General features: G+C 48.9%; 4 annotated features.

Annotated features, from left to right (window-relative positions):
- Positions 595 to 1,794: an enhancer, noted in NCBI's record as "P300/CBP strongly-dependent group 1 enhancer chr1:31090817-31092016 (GRCh37/hg19 assembly coordinates)". NCBI's record gives its function as "activates an origin of replication core promoter dependent on BRD2, BRD4, P300/CBP, MED14 and CDK7 cofactors, with strong dependence on P300/CBP, by STARR-seq in HCT116 cells {active_cell/tissue: HCT116}" and the evidence as "EXISTENCE:reporter gene assay evidence [ECO:0000049][PMID:35650434]".
- Positions 2,012 to 2,181: an enhancer, noted in NCBI's record as "experimental_6678 CRE fragment used in MPRA reporter constructs". NCBI's record gives its function as "activates a minimal promoter by MPRAs in K562 erythroleukemia cells, with activity observed for the non-introgressed 1:31090515 variant allele {active_cell/tissue: K562}" and the evidence as "EXISTENCE:reporter gene assay evidence [ECO:0000049][PMID:34662402]".
- Positions 7,535 to 7,735: a silencer, noted in NCBI's record as "peak154 fragment used in MPRA reporter construct". NCBI's record gives its function as "represses an SCP1 promoter by STARR-seq MPRAs in K562 erythroleukemia cells {active_cell/tissue: K562}" and the evidence as "EXISTENCE:reporter gene assay evidence [ECO:0000049][PMID:32103011]".
- Positions 12,843 to 13,012: an enhancer, noted in NCBI's record as "experimental_6672 CRE fragment used in MPRA reporter constructs". NCBI's record gives its function as "activates a minimal promoter by MPRAs in K562 erythroleukemia cells, with activity observed for the introgressed 1:31079684 variant allele {active_cell/tissue: K562}" and the evidence as "EXISTENCE:reporter gene assay evidence [ECO:0000049][PMID:34662402]".

The raw sequence follows: 21,084 nt of genomic DNA, 5'->3' as shown, positions 1-21,084 counted from the left end.
GCGTTTTCTGGGCATCTCAGAAAATGCTGGGCAATTTTCTTAAGTAAAATTCTTTGTCAAAGTGTAACAAGATGACACTGAGTTTCCAAGATTGGGTGACTAGGAGAGTTGCTCAAACCTTGGACCCTGGGAACACAGTGAGAGTTAGGTTAGAGAGAAGTTGAATTCACTTTTGGACATATTGTGTTTGAGCTACCAACAGCTCACCCAGGAGGAGACATGGGATATGTGGAAATGCAGAGATCAGTGAATTAGGCCTGGGGTGGGAGCAGAAGACCTGGGGTGGGTCTCACCTCTGCACACCTTGCCTGGGACTGTGTATAGCAGAAGCACCTTTCCTGTGATTTCTGTCTCTCGCTGTTTGCCCAGGGTGTAATCAAGAAATGGTGAAGTCTGAAGAGAAAAAATTTGGTCATCTTGACCACCACCCAGCCACTTGTTCCCTGATGTGTTTCATTTTGAAAGTGGTTTCAGGCAAATTTTAGCCAAGTTGATCTTTGCTGCCTTGCTGAGCTACTTCAGCTCCCAGGAGCACCTACTGGGTGGAAGACACTGAGTTTGGGACGCTGGGATCAGGCTGAAGTTGGTTTACTGGGTGGGTCTGGAAGAGGCAAACACAAAAGTTGACCCTGAGGTGGTGCATGCCCCTGTTCCTCCTTGGCATGTGGGCTGGGGTCCACCTTCTGCAGGTAGGTCTGCCCCTCTCTCGGGGTCTCTGCTCCCAGGGATGAAGGGCTGTGGGTGGCGATTCTCCCGGCAGCCAACTGCCCAGGTCTCCTGAAAAACCTCATCTCCCAGGGAGTCCCTGCCTAGACCTAGAGGGAAAAGTGAGATGCCTCATTCTGTTTTCAGGCCCAAACAGCTTTCTCCAGTCAAGTTTCACCAGATACAAAGCTGAAAGTCCATTTTCCTGTTTGGTCCTAACTAGCAAAGGAGCAGGATCTCTGTGACTGGCCCTGGGAGAATGACAGCAGCTCTCTGTGAGCCCACACTGCAGTCCCTCCCAACCTCAGCTTTCGTGGCCATCTCAGAGAGAGGCAGAGCAGCCTCAGGTCCCTCCTTCAGGCTCTGTCTTGAGAATTCAGGTCTGGGCAGCTGGAACAGGAGTGTGCAATTTGGAATCAGTTGAAATCCAGCTCTGGCAGGTGACTCACCAGCAATGCAATCTTGGGCAGGTCCCACCACCTCTGCGAGTCACAGCTGCCACATTCACGCAGTGGGGATAATTATCCCCACCTTCTGGGACTATGGGGAAGATCGAGGTGATAGAGGTGAAGATATCTAACCAACTCTGCTGCCTCATTCATCCAGGGTGAGTCACAACATTCTCACCGAGAGCGACATTTCCTCTCACTTTTGTTCTTTGAATCAAAGTCTCAAGATCAATAAGATTGTCCTTCCTGCCTCCTCTCCACTCCTTCATTTATCATCCTTCATCTTTGACTGATTTATAATTTTAGAAGTTGGAAGGAATCATAGAGACCAAGGAGTCCATGTTTTACACATTGGGGGAATGGAGGCCCAGAGAGGAATAGCAACAGGTTCAAGGTCACCCTGCCGGCTTGGGGAAGGGTCCTGACACCTGCCCCCCAAGAGTGCAAGCCCCATTTTCTTGTCTGCTGGGCTGCACCTCTCCATTTTCTTGGGTCCCCTGTGATCTACTGGGAATGCTTTCCTGATATTTTCATTGAAAACAAAACCCAACAAAATGAATGGTATCTTTAAATTGCTACATTGCTCTGTGGCTGTTTTCTTTTCTTTTTTCCTTTTAAGATGTACACACACACACACACACACACACACACACACACACACACTGCTCCCTGCCTGTGTCAACCAGCCAGATTTTCTAATCTAAACTGACAGTCAGTTTCACTCCAGAAGAAATGTGTGTGATCTCTTGCCCGTGTGAACATAGTGTGCTATTGATATAATCACCGTCCAGTAAAAAGCCCACTGAGAGAATATATTGCAGGAGGAAGGGTTTAACTTGGGAAAACTCAAGTTGCCGCACACATATATTTTACCTCTCAAACATTTTTTTTTAAACCGAGGAGGAATAAATCACTTTTAAAGGTTACTTTACCCTTAAAAAGAATCTGAATGTGCATCTTTCAAGCACATGTCGTATGTGTGAGATGTCAGCGTTTTATCACTTGTATAATCCGGCCCTCTTGTCTTTTCCTATTACTCCGAAGACCTTGGCAAGCAACTTACCCCCTCACCATATCATCAGTGATATTTTCTATGCAGTCTGAAGATTTGTCTTTGTTAATCTCCTCTGAGAGATGACGTCGGTACTAGGCCAGAGCAATGTGGCCAGACAGCCAAGAGATTTCAATTTAGGGCTCCCAGAACTTTCAGTATATGAGTCATCACAGCTACCATCGCCTGAGGGCCTACTGTGCGCCAGCACTGTGTCAGACGCTTTTTAATTAATCATCTCTAACCCTCCAGCTCCCACCCTGATTCCATTCACTGTCACCCACTGCCAGGATGATTGCAGGAGATGCCCGATCATCTCCCCAGTTCGATTTCACTCTTGCGCCCTGTGGTCTCGTCTCCACCTAGAAGCAGGAGAGAGCCTTTAAAAATGCCCCTGCAACCATTTCCTTCCTTGCTCACACTCTCCATGGGTGCCCAGCTTCTGCAGATTAAAGCCTGAGTCCTCTCCTGGTCCCAGGCCCCATGACCTCTCTGACCTCATCCCCTACCCCTCTTTACTCTGCCCCAGCCACTTGGGCCTCCCTGCTGACCCTTGAGCATGCCAGGGTCACTCTCACCTCTGGGAATCTGCACGTGTGGCTTCCGCTGCCTGGGCTGACCACCCAAGATGTCCTCATGGCTCCCAGCCTTCGGGCTGTTCCCAAGTGAGTCCTTACTGAGGCCTTTCCTGATCACCCGTATAAAACCGCACCCCAATCTCCTGACATTCTTCATCCCCCATCTCTATCTGATGTCTCCTCATCGCTTACCACTATCTGGCATATTCCGTGTATATTTGATTTATTTCCCTTGCTTATCATCTGTCTCTGTAGCAACACATAGCATCTGTGAAGAAAGGGGTGTTGCATTGTTTTGCTTATTAATAATTTCTAGAGCTTAGAATATTGCCTGGCACATAAATACTTATTGTATGAATGAATGAAATAATCTCATTTGATTTGTGTGTGTGGTCAGTCAGAGATGTTAAGACAATTAACAAAACTGGGTGTGGTGGATCATACATGTAATCCCAACACTCTGAGGGGCCAAGGCGGGTGGATCACTTGAGCCCAGGAGTTTGATCAAGGCCAGCCTGGGCAACATGGCGAGACCTCGTCTCTACAAAATATAAAAAATTAGCTGGGCATGGTGCGTACCTGTAGTCCAGGTACTCGGGAGGCTGAGGTGGAAGGATAGCTTGAGCCTGGGAAGTTGAGGCTGCAGTGAGCCTTGAATGCACCACTGCACTCCAGCCTAGGTGATTGAGCAAGGCCCTGTTTCAAAAAGGGAAAAAAAAGCAATTGACAAGTAATGAATGAAAATATAATCTCAAGACTGCATGACAGAGAGTGACCAGGGGCTACTTCAGGTTGGAGGCATGGAAAAGCCTCTTTCAGGAGGTGGCATTTGAACTGAGACCAGCTATGTTTGAACTGAGACTTGGATTTTACAGACCAGGCAACAACCAAAGGGAGCCCCAGGGAGACAGACAGCTTGCCGAAGGCCTAGCAGGAGGCAAGTTGTGAGATGGGTCTAGAGGCCACAGAGCAGGTGTGCCCAGGCTCTTGGGGAGCTCTTGAGAAAATCCAAAATGGACACTCATGGGTCCTGCAGTGCCCTGTGCTGGCCTTGTCCTGGCCTTTTGCCCACCGTGTTGTGAACATTACTCCATGTGGTTCCCTTCCCCATAGGCCCCAAAGCTACTCGAGGATCAAACAGGGCCCTGACTATGCTTGTATCCCAGGGCCAGTCACAGGGATACCAGTGGGTGCACAGTAGGGCCTCTGCAGATGGCTTTTGAATGAATCTCATGTGAGGCAGGTCAGGGTGTGTTGTGGCATGTAAGCATCGCAGACTATCAGGTTGTGGGAGTCCTGGAGATACAGTGCATTTTACTTAAACAGAGGAACTGAGGCCCAGAGTAGGGTAGGGATGTGCTCATGGTGACTCTCTGAGCAGACATAAGGGTTCAGACTTGAATTCTGGTCTCTTGCTCTCTGTTCTCCCATACACTGCCCTGGGAGGGGGAGGCTCAGGAACCCTGGCCTCATTAACAGGAATGCAGGTGACTGGGAGAGTTAGGGTTTCTGCTTTTCCCAGAAGCATGTCCTGAAGAAATATCTGGCTGCAAATAAAATACAAATGAGGTTCTGCGATGAAGTTCCTGAAGCTGTACAAATGACAAAAGACCCATGCCCTGGGGTTAGTGCTAATTAGAGTCTCCTGAAAGTCAGAGGAGAGGAGCCTTAGAGAGACTGGGGCCCAGGCAAGTTATTACAGAGGTGGGAACAGAAGGCCAGGAAGGTGAGTAATTGACCCGAGGCTATGCTGGGGCAGAGCTAGGATGTAGACTAGGCTTGCAGCCCCCATCCCACTATGGTCAAGGTGAGAGCTGAGCATCCTCTAGCTATCCTTTTGAGCTCCTGACACCTGTCCTATCCAATTGCCTTGCAGCTGCTTTCTCAAAGCTGCTTGCTGTTTTGAGTTTTTTTTGTTTGTTTTCTGAAAAGTTATTGACAAGATATGATATGAGTGGAGCAGAGAGTGGATGCATCTTAACTCAATGTGGGGTGCTAGCCCACTCTGTGATAGATCTAGAGGCTCCTAAGGGTAGGAGTTGGGGAGAGGGTTCAGGAAGGGCTGGGATAATGCAGTATTAGTCCATTTTCACACTGCTGATAAAGACATACCCAAGACTGGGTAATTTTTAAAGAAAAATAGGTTTAATGGACTCACAGTTCCACATTGCTGGGGAGGCCTCACAATCATGGCAGAAGGCGAAGGCACATCTTACATGGTGGCAGGCAGAAAAAGAGAGCCTGTGCAAGGGAACCCCTCTTGATAAAACCATCAGATCTCATAAGACTTATTCACTATCATGAGAACAGCATGGGAAAGACCCACTCACATGATTCAATGACCTCCCACCAGGTCCCTCCCACAACAAGTGGGAATTGTGGGAGCTATAATTCAAGATGAGATTTGGGTGAGGACACAGCCAAACCGTATCACTGCATGATCTCACTTATATATAAAATCTAAAATATTTGAACTCATAGATATAGAGAATAGAGTGGTGGTTACCAGAGGCTAGGCGTGAGGGATGGAGAATTCTGAGATGTTGGTCAAAGGGTACAGAGTTTCAGTTAGGAGGAATACTGCATCTTCTGCAGATTAAAATTAAATTCTGCAGATTCAAGATCTTTTGCATAGCGTGGTACCTATAGTTAACAGTAGTGTAATGTATATTCCAAAATTGCTAAGAAAGTAGACTTTTAATGTTTGCTCCACTAAAAAATAAGTTTGTGGGGTGATGGATATGTTAATTAGCTTGTTTTAATTATTCCATAATGCATACATATATCAAAAGATAACATCATGCCCCATAAATATAATTTTTTTGTCTAAAATTAAAAAAATTGAAAAAGAAGAAGAAGGAAAAAAATGCTGTGACCCCTTCCCATGTGTCAGGCCCTGGCCTGAACACCGTGTATATGATCTCATTGGATGTATCTTACAACAGTGTACCACATTTCTATGAGGTAGGTCATTATCCCCATTTGAAAGAAGAGCAAGTGGAGGTGACATCACTAGTTGGCAGCAAAGTTGGTCCTCAAATCCAAATATGTCTAACACCAAAGTCTATTTCTTAGGTTCAGGAGTCCCAGAAAGCTTTTGGTTGAGTGAGATTAGGATCAGCTCAAAGGTAAAGGCAGGATCCGCTTCACAGGGCTATGATCAAGTTTACCTCTAGGATGAGGAAACTTCTAACTTCTCTTCCAAGAGCAACTTCTAAGCTGTCTCATGCCTGTCTCATGCTAACTCTAGTTAGCACTAACCCCAGGGCATGGGTCTTTTCCTGTTTGTACAGCTTCAGGAACTTCATCTGCAGAACCTCATTTTTATTTTATTTGCAGCCAGATATTTCTTCAGAACATGCTTCTGGGAAAAGCAGAGTGAATACTCCTCTAGGGATTCTAGGGGGTAGAGACAGAGATGATTCTCCCCATGAATAAAACATTCTAAAGACTGATGACTTATCTTAAAACAAGCTATGTGACTCTTGCATGTCTACTCCTGCAAATAAAATATTTGTACTTTATTTTAGTAGAAATATTGCCCTCCAAATCTTTGAGTAATATTCATGCCCTGGGGAGCTGTCTCATGCCTGACAAGCTGGAAGAGCAGAGATGTGGGGGTGAGTCAAGGTGAGGGTGCAGTCTGGCATTATAGTAGAGTGACAAACCTTCTTGGCTCACCCAGGACTAAGAGTTTCTTGGAATGTGGGACCTGCAGTGCTAACACGGAGAAAGTCTCAGTTAAAGCAGGCTGAGTTGGTGATAGCAGTTACAGCAAGGATGGAACTAGAGTTAGTATAACAGACCCTTTGAGAGTGGGTAGAATGTAGTGGTTAAAAACATGAGCTTTGCTTGGAGACAGACCCAGGTATTTTGCTTATGTTTCAAAATTGGTGTCCATGAATCTCTTTGAGCTTGGAGTTCCTCATCTTTAAAGTGGAACTAACAATGGTGCTTCCTCTAAATAATTATTGTGAGGATTCACATGGCAAATGATCAGTAAATGGCAGCATCTTTGCTATTTGTATCCATCTTCCTGGGTGGCTGATTTTCAGGGTTCTTAGCTCAGTGGCATGACCAAAATGCTTTGTGTCAATCTCCTTATCACCTAAAGAGGGAAGTAGACATGGCTATTGGCTGAAGGCCAAGAGTTAATCTTATGTTTGGTCCCAGCTCTGGCACTAACTCAAGTCATTTCCACTTCTTGGGCTTCTGTTTTCCAGCATCAGGGACACCATCTGGAAAATGAAGAAGATTGCACGGAACAATTGCCAAAACCCTTCTAGCTAGAATATTCTCATAATCTGGGAGCTGCTTCCTTGACATGAGTCTTTTTCAGTGTTTCATGAGACCCTTTATAAAAAAGCTTTTAAGCACATGTCTAATTAGTTTGATCAATGTAAGCACATTGCTGCTGTGTAGAACAGAAGGAGAAAAATGCTTGGAAGGCAAATTGTGGTAGGTCATGAGTAGATCCACAAGGTGACTTGGAGACAATTTTCCCCATACAGGCACAGAATTAGGGCTGTGAGTTATTACCTGCCTCTTGTGCCTCAAATCAGGCATCCTAGAATCATATAATTTAGTGGTGTTGTGGTTCATAGAGGGGAAGTGTTTTGCCCAAGGTCACACAGCATACCTAGGCGTGGGTTGTGTAGTCCAGTGACTTTGTTTGTTTTAATCAAACCACATCACTACTCAATTCAACTCTCCTTGTTCACTTGCAAAATGAAGAGAGATACTGCTGAACTGAGATGGTCTCTGAGATTCCTTTCAACCGTGTCAATCTACTATGTCTTGAGGTATAAGAACCAGGGCACAGGAGTTGGGTAAAAGCTTAATGGCAGCTGGGCTGCTGTCCAAGGTGCTGTAGGAGAGAAAGGGTCAGGCCCCGTCACAGGGCATCCAAGGCCAAGGGGAGCAGGAAGCATTCCCTTCACCCTAAAATCACCCCCTCTCCCGATCCACCCCATTAGACCACTGTATCCCTCCTTCCTGTAGCCTTAATAACTGCAAATAACAGGTGCCTTTGGTGATGCAGGAGTCCCCAAATGGTGGATGGAGAGGCATCATGGACTATGTTTCCCCACTGAGGTCCCGAGGCTGTGTCTGTCCTAGCCTGGGGGTTGTCCAGCATCAGGGACACCAGAGTCAAGCTCTTTCCGTCTGTCTCATCTTCCCCACATGAATTCTGGTTGGGGACAGGAGTTGGGCTCCTAAGGGCATGGAGATAACTGGATGTGACAGTCACTCAATAGGTGCTGGATAAATTAGGAAGCAGTAACACCAAGGAGTTATAATCCCAAGATCATAGATAGTTGTCAGGACCATGATGGCCAGCCTGGAAGAGGGGGGATCTAGGTCAAGAAGAACAGGAAAACCCAATGGATCAGACCCATAGCTTGAAATTAGAACAAGTCAGAGAACTGATCTGCAGAGGGAAGATAGATTTGAAGTGGCAGAATAGCAAAGTACCAGATGTACTTGAACATATAAAATCCTTTTTAAAATTATATTTTACCGCATTAGCCAATTTTTGTGGTTTCGTTTAATCATTTTAGCAACCTAAGAAAGAAAACATTATAACCATTTTTCATTTAGAGTACAGAGCCTCAAAGGTGAAGAGACTTTGGGTGAAGGCCCAAAGTCTCTCAGCTGACAACTCACAGACTTGAGATTAGAAACCACCTGTCTTTGCCTGTAAAGCTCCCACTCATTAACCACACTCCTCTCTCACCTATGAACACAATGAAAACAGGGCTGATCTTGCCACCAGTGCAAATTTGGGTCACTGAGCAGGCAGGGTGATTTCAAAAGTGTGTGAAGCCATTTTGACTTGTGGGTAGAGCAGGCATTGAGTTGGCATGGCTTGGCAGCCCTTTCCTGGGAGGGAGGGTAGTGCATGCTGGCTGGCATCCCATGCCTGGCAGGGCCTTGCTGGCTATGGGGGAGAGAGAGATGTGGGTGTAGTCATTGACCAAGTCATCAAAGAAACTTGGCCTTTGGGACATCTTTGGCCCCTAAGCAGAGTCACTGCACACTGGCTTACCCACAAGATGTGTCTGGAACAACGGGCATCTTCACCCTTTTGAGAAGATGTGATTCCTTAAGTAACAGTAACAGTCACCATTGTTGAATATCTACTTCACTCATTTCAACAAATATCTATAAGTGCCCACTATGGGCCTGGCACTGGGGCTCCAACAGTGAACCCCACACAGCTGGCAATGGCAGAGACGGGCCAGCTGGGCTCCCTGTCCTGGCTGCTGTGGCTGCTGTCACTGTTGTCATGTGAGAGCTTCCCTTCCATGCTCTTGCTCTTCTGCTGCTCAATTTCAGGCATTCTTTCTTCCCCCCATGATATGTTGGTATTATTATTTAATTTCCTCAGACCTGGTATAAAGGGAAAAAGCAGATAAATGGAGGAAAAGCCACAAAGCCAAGTAGAGAAGTTCTTCCTGTTTATTCCCATAAGAAATAACCAGGTCAACTCAAATTAATTCAAGGCTGGTCATAACTGAAGAACAAAAATAAGCTAGTTAACTTCATGCTTTTAGTTTAGGATTAATCTATTCATCAGCTTAGCTCACGGGGAGGAAACATGCTTCTTCAGTAGTTTTCAAACTGAAAATAAATGCCTCATTAGGTTAAACATATTAGCCTGAGAACAGTATTGATGTCAGATAGACTAATGAATGTCATTATTGGGAATGTGCAACAGTCCTCAGAGGGACCTGACCCACCATCAGGAGCTCTCTGCAAATGTGCTCACAAATGTGCTCAACTGCTGTACCCTCCGAAACAGAGGGAGGGGGGGCAAGAGAGCACTCAGGGAGACAGGGGGAAAGGGATTGTTCTTGGAGCCTTGGCCATTCCTGGAAATGACTTCCTCTGATGAATGCAGGCATCTTTGGCCATTTGCAAAAGCCCATGGGTAAAGGAGGGCCTGGGTGTGATGTCATTCACTTGCTTCCAAGAGGAGAGGGCAGGTTTTAGCCTCTAAATAAGACAGACAGGACAGGGGTTGAGGCTTGAACATCTAGTTCGACGGGGCTCCCCTCCCACGATGACAGCCATTCCAGCAGCAGTGCGTCCACAGCAGCTTTCCCCACAGCAGCTCCCCCCACAGCAGCTCCCTCACAGCAGCAGCTCCCCCAACAGCAGCTCCCCCATGGCAGTTTCCCCCACAGAAGCTCCCCTCACAGCAGCTCCCCAACAACAGCTCCCCCACAGCAGCTCCCCCGACAGCAGCTCCCCAACAGTAGTTTTCCCCATGGCAGCTCCCGCAGTTCCCCCTACAGCAGCTCCATGCACAGCGTCTCCCTCAGAGCAGCTCCCCTCTCTTCCTCCCTGGACTGGCTCCAAATCAGGATGCATCCTGTGGGGGAGACATGAACTCTTCCTTGTCTTGCCCACAGAGGCCCTGTGTGTCATCATGGTCTTAAGGACCTGCACAGGCCTGCAAGCTGCAAGCTCCTCCATGATTTGGAGATGGTGTTCCCACCACGCAGGGCCATCCCAGCTGTGCGTTTAAAGGTGTGAGTCCCCTTTCCCTGGGAGCACCTGCTTTTTTGTAACATGGGCTCTCTGCACTGAGGCTGCAATTTAATTTCAGGCTGGGGTACTTTATGCAAACTCTGAGTGAAATGCTGTTTACTGTTTATTATTTCTGCAATTATTTGCTTAGTGCTGGTAGCCTCCGTGTTCTGTGGTGGTGGGGACCATGTACCTAGCACATATAGCAAGCATACAATAAATGTTTGTTGAATGACTGAATGAAGGAATGACTGAAGGGAGATATAGGTTCTAGCAACTGAATGTCTCCGTATGGTCTCTCTAGACATGGGAAAACTTACTGTGCTTTTTTCTTTTTTCTTTTTTTTTCAAGAGTAAAGTTGATGGTAAAGGGAGAATTTGAAAGAAGCTAGGTACTAGATGCAGTGTTGAAAGATAACTAAGCAGAACTACTTTGGGATCGGAGAGGTATGGTATATCAGTTTGCTATTGCTGCACGACAAGCCATCTCAAAACATAGTGGCTTAAAATAACAAACATGTATTTAGCTTAAGAATATGTAGGTTTGCTGGGTGGTTCTGCTGCTCTGGGCTGGCCTGAGCTGGTCTTGGTTGGGATTATTAGCCCCTCAGGATGGCTGGTGTGTTGGTTGAAGCCTGGCTGGTCCAGGAGGCCTTGGGCAGAATAGCTTATCTCTGGAGGATGTGTTCTCTCATCCTCCAGTGAGTAGCCCAGGCTTGTTCTTACAGTGAAAGCAGGTTACAAAACAGAGCAGAAGTACACAGGGCCTCTTGAAGCTTAGGCTCAGAAATGGTACAATGTCCCTTCTGCAGCCTTGTATTGGCCAAAGCCAGGAGACGTCCAGCTCAGACGAAGTAGTGGGGAACTAAATTTTCCCTCTTGATGGGAAGGGCTTCAAAGGGCAGGGACACAGGGAAGGGTAGAGGACTGTGGCCAGTTTTGCAGACGTAACATGAATGGTTTCAATTCTCATCATACGGACCTTTAACTTCTCTTGTGAGGGGGGGATTTTTAACAAGAATCATGGGATCAGGGCAGAGGATCAAAGAGAGTTTACCCAGCTATCTATGACCAACCCTGTGTCTTAGCAAATGTCCCCTTATTCAGGAAGGGTCAGCAGGGAAGAGGTGGGGTTGTAGAATCTGGGGATATAAAATCTCTGCAAGAAGAGAGGGTTGTTTTTGATTACAAAAAGTGTTGCTCATAGACTGGGTGGCATTGGTTGCTTGGTGGGTATCAACTCAATGACCACAACAAAGGAAGATTTAACAAGGGGATTTTATTACTTGCAACAAGTAAGGAGAACACCAGGGAGAACACATAGGTCCCCAAGTAATGCCTCCCTGAACTGGGAACTGGGTCAGGTTTTATAAGCATAGGATAATGAGGCACGACCTGATTAGATCTTGCAATGAGGTGATGCCAAGAGGCATGATCTGACTGGATCCTGCCGTGCAGTAACAACAGAACTTGATCTGATTGGATCCTGGATCTGCTGTGTAGTGTCCGCTTCTTAATTCAGTCCCCACTCCTCTGTCTGAGTACTTAGGTTCCCCCTGTGGTTGCACATTTGGTTTACCTGGGCATGTTCAGGTTACATGATCTGAGGGTGCATGGAAACTGGAAAACAACTCACGACTTTGTTCCATAAAAGTTGAACTGCATTTGGGTCTGTTGTCGCCACAAAAGGGCTGCCATGTGAAGGAGGAAGTAAATGCCCTCCATGTGGCCTGAAGGAAGGATTTTCTAACAGTCAAACCTGTTCAGAGACAGAATGGGCTGCGTTGAGTTGTGGTGAGCTCCCCATCCTTGGGGATGTGCAAACACGAGTTAGAGGGAGGCATAATAGTGAGATGAAGTGCTTCAACTATGGTATCAGACAGGCCTGGCTTTGATTTGCAACTTGGTGTTTCAGGGTGAATGACTTTAACTGTGTGAGCCACAGTTTCCTCATTGGTAAAATGAGGATAATAATATTACTTACTGCAATGGGTTACTATGAGGTTTTAATGAGATGGTACATGTAAAACATACATAAAGGCTTCCAGTGGCTGAGAGCCGAGGGCAGTGCTACTTCCACACTATATTCTTTTATGGAGGGGATTCTGGCATTAATGAGGCCCCAGGCCCTGGTCCACTTCCTGCATTTAGAGTCTTTAGATGGTATCTCTATTAATGTGTCAGAATTAGGACACTCCCCCTCTCCTTGCTCCCTTCCAATCCCTAGCCCTCTTTGGATCTCTACAAATGGTCTCTATAGGTTCGGAATCCTGGCGTTGAGGTGGGATTTCCAGTTCTCTTGCTCCCCACTGCCCCTGTGCATGTGAGGATGCCTGATGCCCAAACCATGGGGACTGCGGGAGCCAGAGGCTATTCCTCAACACACTCCTGAGATTTGAGGAACAGAGGCCCCTTTTCATTGGGGGTGACCTGGAAGGGGCTTCTCAGTCCACTGCACGAGGCTGATTTGCTCTCTGATGAGACTTTGATCATCCTCTCTGGACTCGGAAATGCAGCTTAATTTCAGTGGGAAGAAAAATAATTAAGACTTGCAAACCCGTGTTGTAAATGTTGCTCCAGGGCTCCCGGCAGAGCCGCCCAGTCAGTTTGATCATTTCTTGGGCTTACTCAAAAGCCCCCTCTGTGAGTGATTGGCCACTTAGCACTTGTTAATGGATCTAACTTGCACAGATTTAAGTGTTTTCTTGGAATTGATCTTTCCGTGAAAAGTATGCTTTGGAGATGTGGAATAACCATCAGAGAGCCTTAAATGAATTACAATTTATCAAGCGGAAAAAAAACAATGCACTTGAAACAGGCACTACAGGGGAAATGGAGGGCTGGGAGCTTCCCTGCGGACCAGGAGGGTGAGGCAAGGGGGGCCATGCCGCTGAGCTCAGTTCTTTCTACGGTTTCTGGGTTCACCGGGGGAATGTTACATCCTGGGTCATTTTCTCTGCTTTGTGATGTGACATTTCCTGCTCCTGTTCCCACCCCAGCTCTGCCCATCTCTGTGGCAGGGCTGGCGGAGTCACTCTCCTCCCCGCCAGGGATTGATGGCTTTGCCTGGAGAAAGGAGGTGAGGAGGAGTCCCACACTCTCATTGACCACCCCCATCCTCTGCCTCCTCCCTCCTGGGCCCCATCTACTGAGCAATGAGCTCTGGAGACACTGGGTAAAAGGGGGTGCAGGCACTCCAATCTCCAGGGAATGTGGCTGTGTGGTGGTGTCTCACCAGAGATGAGAGAAGGGGATGAGGCCTCTGCCCACCGGTTCCCTACACAAGGGGCCTGAGGAGGGGGCTCAGTTCATCTAGATGCTCAGTTGTCAGACATTTGCTGAGGGCCAGCCTGTGCCTGGTTCTCACCCCCACCAAAAGGGGATCTCTGTTCCTCAGACCACAGTCTGAATATGTGAGGGAGCAGCCCCTGGCTCCCACAGCCCCCACAGTTTGATTACTGGGCATCCTTACATGCACAGGGGCTGGAGATTCTGGAAGGATGAACCCCAATCCCCACCCTTGCCACGCACAGCGAGGCCACATTGGACTCTCACCCTCACCCCATTGCCTCTGTGACCTCACCCTGCTGTGTGTGCTCCTCTTAGTGCATTTCACCCTCTGACTCTAGATGCAGTTGGTCTGTTAATGTCCATCTCCCTGTGAAGGTCCACTCTGTGGGAATGGGGCTTTCTCTGTCTTGCTCTGAGCTGGAACCACTCCAGGCGGGTAGCAGATGCTCTACTTCGTGAAGACACTCCGTTCTGTAATGGAGAGGGTACAGAGTGGCAAGTGTCCTTAGTGAGCACCTTCCTTGGTGTGTGAGGGCGAGTGCACAGGGGACATGAGTGAGGCACCCACAGCCTCAGCTAAAATCGCTAAGGACACCACTGTGCACAGAGCACCAGGTCTCAAAGCCAGCAGACTCCACCCTCCCATGACTGATACCAATGCAGCCCTGCCAGAGACAAACTCTTCCTCACGCTGCTGCCTGGCCACACTGATCTGCATGGCCACAGCCCAACTCAGCCTAACCCCACTGTAGGTGGAGAGTGGGTGTGGCTGGGGCTTCTCTGCTGTGTCTCATCAATGACCCTCTGCCCTCCGCTCACCCCAAGCCTCAGGTTTCCAGTCTGGCTGTTCCAATGGTGGAGTTGGGAACCATTTTGTGTCCTTTGCTTGGCTGTCCCCAGCCTGAGGTGGGGAAGTTGGGGTGGGCTGCAAGCTAGCAGTGTGCTCTGTGGGAGGACTGTTCTTTCTTTCAACCTCACTGCAGACAAGGGCTGGAGCAGAAGAGACACCTGCTGATGAGGCCTAACAGGGCAGGCACCTAGGGAGCAACAGACATGTCTCAGGCCCAGGGCGGAGGGACAGCCACAGTCTCGGTGGGTTTGTCATGAACAGAGGGGACAGATCTGGGCAGGTGCTCAGGCCCATGGTGGGATAGGGCTTAAGACCACGGAGAGACTGTGGGGAGTTAGGTGTATGCTCAACATGGGATGGGAGAGCAGGCTGGGTTCCGCTAGGGTGGAGAGCGGGGAGGGGACTCCCAGGTGCAAGAAAGAGCAGTCCTAACCAGGGTCCAGGATCAGCACCTGAGCTCAGGCTCTTGGGCCACAGAGACAGGGATTCAAATTCCAGCTCTGCCACCTTAGGCAAATCCCTTCTGAGCCTCAGTTTCTTCATCTGTCAAATAGGGATGGCTGACCTTTTAAAATGAGATACCTATAACCAGCAAGGTCCGTGGGGCCCAATTGTCTGCATTCAAATCCTAGTTCTGCCACTGCCTAGCCATAGGAGTGACCTTGAACCTGTGAACCAAAAGTACCTGACATAGGTCTCAATCAAATTTAGAAAGTTAATTTTGCCAAAGTTAAGGAAGTACCTGTGACACAGCCTCAGGAGATACTGACGACATGTGCCCAAAGTGGTCGGGGTACAGCTTGCTGTTGTACATTTTAGGGAGACATGAGACATCAATCAATACGTGTAAGATGTAGATTGGTTCGGTCTGGTAAGGCAGGACCACTCCAAGGGGGCAGGGCAGTGGGGGGATATTCCAGGTCATAGGTAGATAAGAGACGAAAGATTGCATTCTTCTGAGTCCTTGATCAGCCTTTCACTGAATACACAATTTAGTCTGACTCAGTGAATCTGCATTTTTACATAAACAATGGGGCAGAGGAAGCCATTAGATATGCATTTGTCTCAGGTGAGCAGAAGATGACTTTCTGTTCATGCCTCTGAAGATCAGCTATTAGTTTATGTTGCCAGGGTGAAATTCAGCAGAACTGTTGTAGGATGAAGATCTTGAGGCCTACAAGAATTTTCTTGTGGCAATTTGTGAGGGAAGTATGTAGCTCTTTTATCTTTTTAGCTATCTTATTTAAGAATTAAAATGAGAGGCAGGTTTCAAGTTCCCAGCTTGATTTTTCCCTTGGCTTAGTGATTTTGGGGTCCTGAGATTCATTTTCCTTTCACAAACCTGTTTATAAACCTTCTCTGGACCTGAGCTTCTCATCTGTAATATGTGGGGATAATAGAACCTACCTTATTGGGTAGGTGAGGATGAAATGAATATACATTTAATGAGCTCAGAAGAAAGGCATTGCCTGTAGTAAGCATACCTAGCTGCTTTCTATTATTATTATTTTTGTTATTCATAGCTAGTCATGTCCATCCTCTGCTCAGAGCTGTCCCTGGTTCCCCTCTTGCAAAGCCCTCACATCCCCTAGATGGCCTCATGCTGTCACCTTTCTGAGCTTCCCTCCCATCTCTGCCCTCCTTTCCAGCCACACTGGCCTCCTGGCTGTCCACTCCTGTCTCAGGGCCTTTGCACTCACTCTTCCCTGCATCTGGAATGTTTACCCCAGGCTCATTTGCTTCCTTCCTTCTGGTCTCTATGTGGCCATCCCTGGCCACAGGCCTCCCCTATCACCCTCTGTCTTAGTCTGTTTTAGCTACTATAACAAAAGACCTTAGAATGGGTAATTTGTAACCAACAAGAGATTTATTGCTTACAGTTCTGGAGGCTGGGAATTCCAAGCTTAAGGTGCTGGCTGATTCAGTCTGGTGAGGGCCCATTCCTCATAGATGGGTGCCTTTTCATGGTGTCCTCACGTGGTGGAAGGGGCAAACAAGCTCCCTCAGGCCGCTTTTCTTCTTTGAGACGAGTTCTCACTCTGGTGCCCAGGCTGGACTGCAGTGGTGCGATCATGGCTCACTGTAGCCTCGATCTCCTGGGCTCAAGCGATCCTCCCACCTCAGTCTCCTGGGTAGCTGGGACTACAGCTGTGTGCCACCACGCCCAGCTAATTTTTGTATTTTTTTGTAGAGACAGGCTCTTGCTATGTTGCCTAGTCCACTCTCAGACTCTGGGTCTCAGGTCATCTGCATGCCTTGGCCTCTCAAAAAGAGCTGGGATTACAGGTGTGAACCACTGAGACTGCCCCCTCATCCCCCTCCTTTTTTTTTTAATCAAGGTGCTAATCCCATCCACAAGTGCTCACCCTCATGACTTAGTCACCACCCAAAGGCCCCGCTTCTTTTTTTTTTTTTTTGAGATGAAGTCTTGCTCTGTCGCCCAGACTGGAGTGCAGTGGCGTGATCTCGGCTCATTGCAACCTCCATTTCCCAGGTCCAAGCGATTCTCCTGCCCCAGCCTCCCAAGTAGCCGGGACTATAGGCATGCACCACCACGCCTGGCTAACTTTAGTAGAGACGGGGTTTCACCATGTTGGCCAGGCTGATGCCTCACTTGTTAATACCAACACTTTGAAGGTTAGATTTCAACACATGAATTTTGCAGGGACACAAGCATTCAGACCACAGCACCCTCTTTCTCCTATCCCACTTGTTTCTCTTCACTGCATTAATCTGACATTATGTTATCTGTTAATTTGCTCATCATCCATCTTTTTAATCAGAATACAAGCTCCATAGGGCCAGGGAATGCAGAGCTTTGGTTGGCCAGGCCTGGGCCACACGGTTCATCACTGAAGCCAAGGGGAGAGCCCATCCCAGATGCATGGAAGGAGAATGGGGGAGGGGGTATGTCCCTCCTCTCCCAGGAAAACCAACCCAGATTGAGGGTTCATAAATGGCAGAAGGGAGTGGATGGGGCAGGGAGGGGAAGAAACCACAGGTGCCTACAATAGAGTGGAAGGTCAAGATCAGGGACTTGAAGATGAGGGTGGCCTGGGGCTCCCAGCTGCAGAGAGTTGAGTGGGTAAGGGAAAGAGCATGGGCTCTGCAGGGTCACCTCACCGCTCTGTGGAAGCCTCCCTGAGCTTCCTTCTGCAAAATGGACATGACAATCTGCACCTTGCAGGGCTGCATGTTTATGAGATGTCTGGCCTGGGAAGGGCACCCAGGAACCAGGGCTACTGTTAATATCATTTGGAGGACGGGGCACACACAGCACTGTGGTAGGAGTCATGAGGCCTTTGTTGGGGCACCAGCCTTGCCCTGTGTCTGCTGTGTGGCACTGGGCCTGAGGCAAAACACTGCTCCACCTGCCCTGCTGCCCCCATGGGCTCTTGAAGGGAAGAGGCCTTGCTGGGGGATGGAGGAGAATCGTGGCATCCTGGAGCTGGGGGAGAGGATGGGGTGATGCAGGCCCACCCTGGATCTCACAGGAGAGGAATCATACAACACTCTTCCAATCTCAGCCCCAGAGGTAACTAAGGGGCGGGGTGAGTTAGTCCTGCCTGGTTCCCACAGGCCATTCAGACCCTCAGCTCTGTGTAATCACTGTAGCTCACCCATTCCACCTGCAGAGGCAGCTGGTGCTCTTCGAGAAAGACCTTTTCTAGAACCAGGAAACTGTGAGGAAAAGCAGGAATCCTCTGGGGATGCTCCCCACATCCAACTGATGTAGGACTTTTCTTCTCAGTCACTTTGCAAGCCAGGGACCCCTGGCTGGCAATGCCCCGCCCAGGCCTTGCTCAGCCACGCTTGTGTGCCCCAGCTTGCCTGTGTTACAGGCAGTACTCAAGTTTGGTGGTTCCTGAGCTCTTGTACCATGCCCAAGAAGAACAAGGATACGTTGGACAGTGAAGGGTGAGGAGGGCAGAGAAGAATTCTATTGAGCAATGAAAATGGCTTTCAGCAGAGAGGGGATGCGGGGTTGGTCCCTCTACCTGAAGGTGGGAAAGTTCCCCTGTGTGGCTGGGTCTGGGGCCTTTTATGGACTCAGAATGGGGAGTGCATGCTGATTGGTTTGAGAGTATGCAAAAAAGGTGAAAGTGAAGACGCTACTCGAAGGTGGGCACAACAGTGTAGAAAACCAATTAGGAATGGGTAGGTATATGTAAAACAGGTGAAGGGTGGGGCCCAATCAGAGGAAAGTGAACCAAGCAGGAAGAAAGGTTCTTAATCCAGTCCGATGATTTAACCTGTAGCTTGGCTTTCAGGCTTTAAACTGTCTTCTGCTTGGAGGCGGGGTTTCTCTGGGGACCCACCCCTAGCTGCCTAGGCATTTGCCTGCCTCCTGTCTCTATCACAATGACATGTGAAAGATACAGCTCTGAGGTCGCTGAGCTCACTGGCTGTTCTCCTGGGACTCTCTCCAGCCTCCACTCCAATTAGGGGACTTTCCCTGGCTGCCTCAGCTCCTTCCTGGGTCCCCTGAATCAGATAGGCCAGAGCAGATGTGGAAGAGGCCCTGCTGGGCTCCTCAAGCTGAACCCAGGTGTCTCGGGGTCTGGGGAAGAGAGGGCAGTGGGTGGGAGTGGGGTGAGAGGGCGCTGGAAGCAGATCAGATAGGGCTTCCTGGACAGAGTAGGGAGGAAGGAGGGTATTCTAGTGAGGCGGGGAGCCATGGAGGTTTCAGCAGGGGGTTCATGGTCTGATTTGTATTTTAGGGGCAAGAGAAGACAGAAGAGGCTCAGGGAGGAGGCCTGACAACAAGTGAGGGTGGAGGGACTCCATGTGGGGCTGTGGACGGGATGCCGAGCCTCCAGGGCTCCTGGGACCTGGATGCACATGCCCTGGGCTCTCGTGCAGGGCCAGCTTTGATTCAGGGGGGCTGGGTGGGCCCTGAGATGCTGCAGTCTACCAAGCTCCCAGGGATGCTGCTGCTGTTGCTGGCACGCGACCCACGTGTTAAGCAGCAGCCGGGAGGGTCAGCTGGTTCAAGCGTTTGTTTCACATGTATTTCATGAGGGCTCTCTACATGCCAGGTGCTGGGACACAATGGAGAGCAAGACAGGTGTGGCCCTGCCCTCTGATGATGGCTGATGTGGTCCGTTCTCCTCAGTTGTTTGACTTTGTCTCCACGTTTCAAACTGAGATTCCCAGGAGTGAGGATCTGTTTTCCCAGCCTGGACACAGTGTCTGCTCCAGACCTGCTAAACTGCTGGTTTGGAGGGGCTCCCCAAACAGGCCTGGGCTAAGCAGGAGAGTCATGTGAGGACAGAACAGTGGCCAGCTCTACACAGGTGGGAGGCACAGTTCCTGTTGTGCAGTTGGGGAAACCGACACCCGCAGGAGTACAGCGATGTGCTGAGATCTTGCAGCTGGCAAGGTGGAGATTCAGGGCTTACATCATGTTCTCTTGGACTCTGACTCTGTGGTTTTTCCACAGCTCCACTCCCCAGAGCTTTGCCGTGGCTCCCGCATCTGTTCCACTGCCACACTTAATTCTGCTGAGATGACCAGAGCAGGAAGCAGGAAAGCTGACTTCCCTGAAAGAGGTAACCTGCCTGGGGCTGTCAGGAGGAAGGCCCATGGGAATGCTCCCAGCATCAGGGGACTTTGTGGTTTTCTACCAGAAGAAGGCACTGTACTGGTGTCTTCCAGAGAAGTCCGGGCAGTCAATGCAATTTAACCCCATGCTCAATTATTCAACACAAATAAGAGTCGAATTAAGATTCATGATTTCATGATTATTGTTGCATTACCCAAATATCTAACTGATGGTGGACATATTTACGTGAGTCCACCAGTCTGATCCCTAAAATCTTCCTAAGACTTTCAACCTCCATAAATCATTTTTGGTAGCAGCCATCTTGTAATTACCACAGAGTCCAAAGTGGAGAAGGCCCCTCTGCAGACTCCATGCCCCAGGGAAGGTCAGTTGAACAAGTCCCTCTCGGGAGCAGGGCTGAGGTTTCACCTAGTGTCTGTCAGCCAGATGGTTATGACCTCTGGTTCCAGGAGACAATCTCTGGCATTTGCTTAGTGGGAAGGATGGGATTCCGGGTAAACAACAGTCAAATGATTTATGAGGGGGATTGCAGGGGGCAGGGGTTGTCCCTGGAGGTTACTGAAAACCACTTCTGCAGATGGGGGCAGTGGGAGGAAGGGATGTATGTGTGTCCCCTTCCCCATGACACTTTAGGGCTTCTTAGGATCAGGTGGGTGACTTTGGGGTGGTGATTTAACCTCTCAGTGCCTCAGTTTTGCCACCTGGAAGTCAGAGTGGATGGACCTTCCCTGATAGGGCAGTTATGAGGGCCACAGCAAGCGCCCAGATAAATAAGTGCTGGTGACTCGAGTGAGGGGTATAGACAGCCTATTGTGCTGGGTGAGGTGCTCATCTGGTTCTTACATGTCCTGTTGCTGATTGTCTGAGGAGGCCCTGGCCACTGCTTGGCAGTCCTGATGCTGCTTACTTGGGTCACCTCCCAAGTAAACCACTCACCCTCCCTGTCACAGGGTCTGCCCCTGGGGAAGTCCAAGACAGGGGGTTGAGGGGAGGTGTGGGCCTAGCAGGCGCAAGGCTGTGACCCAAGTCAGAGGGAACTGGGTACCGGGAAAGGTTCC

Source organism: Homo sapiens, chromosome 1 (genome assembly GCF_000001405.40).
Source record: "Homo sapiens chromosome 1, GRCh38.p14 Primary Assembly".
Taxonomy (NCBI): domain Eukaryota; kingdom Metazoa; phylum Chordata; class Mammalia; order Primates; family Hominidae; genus Homo; species Homo sapiens.
This window is presented reverse-complemented; position numbering and strand designations above follow the sequence as displayed.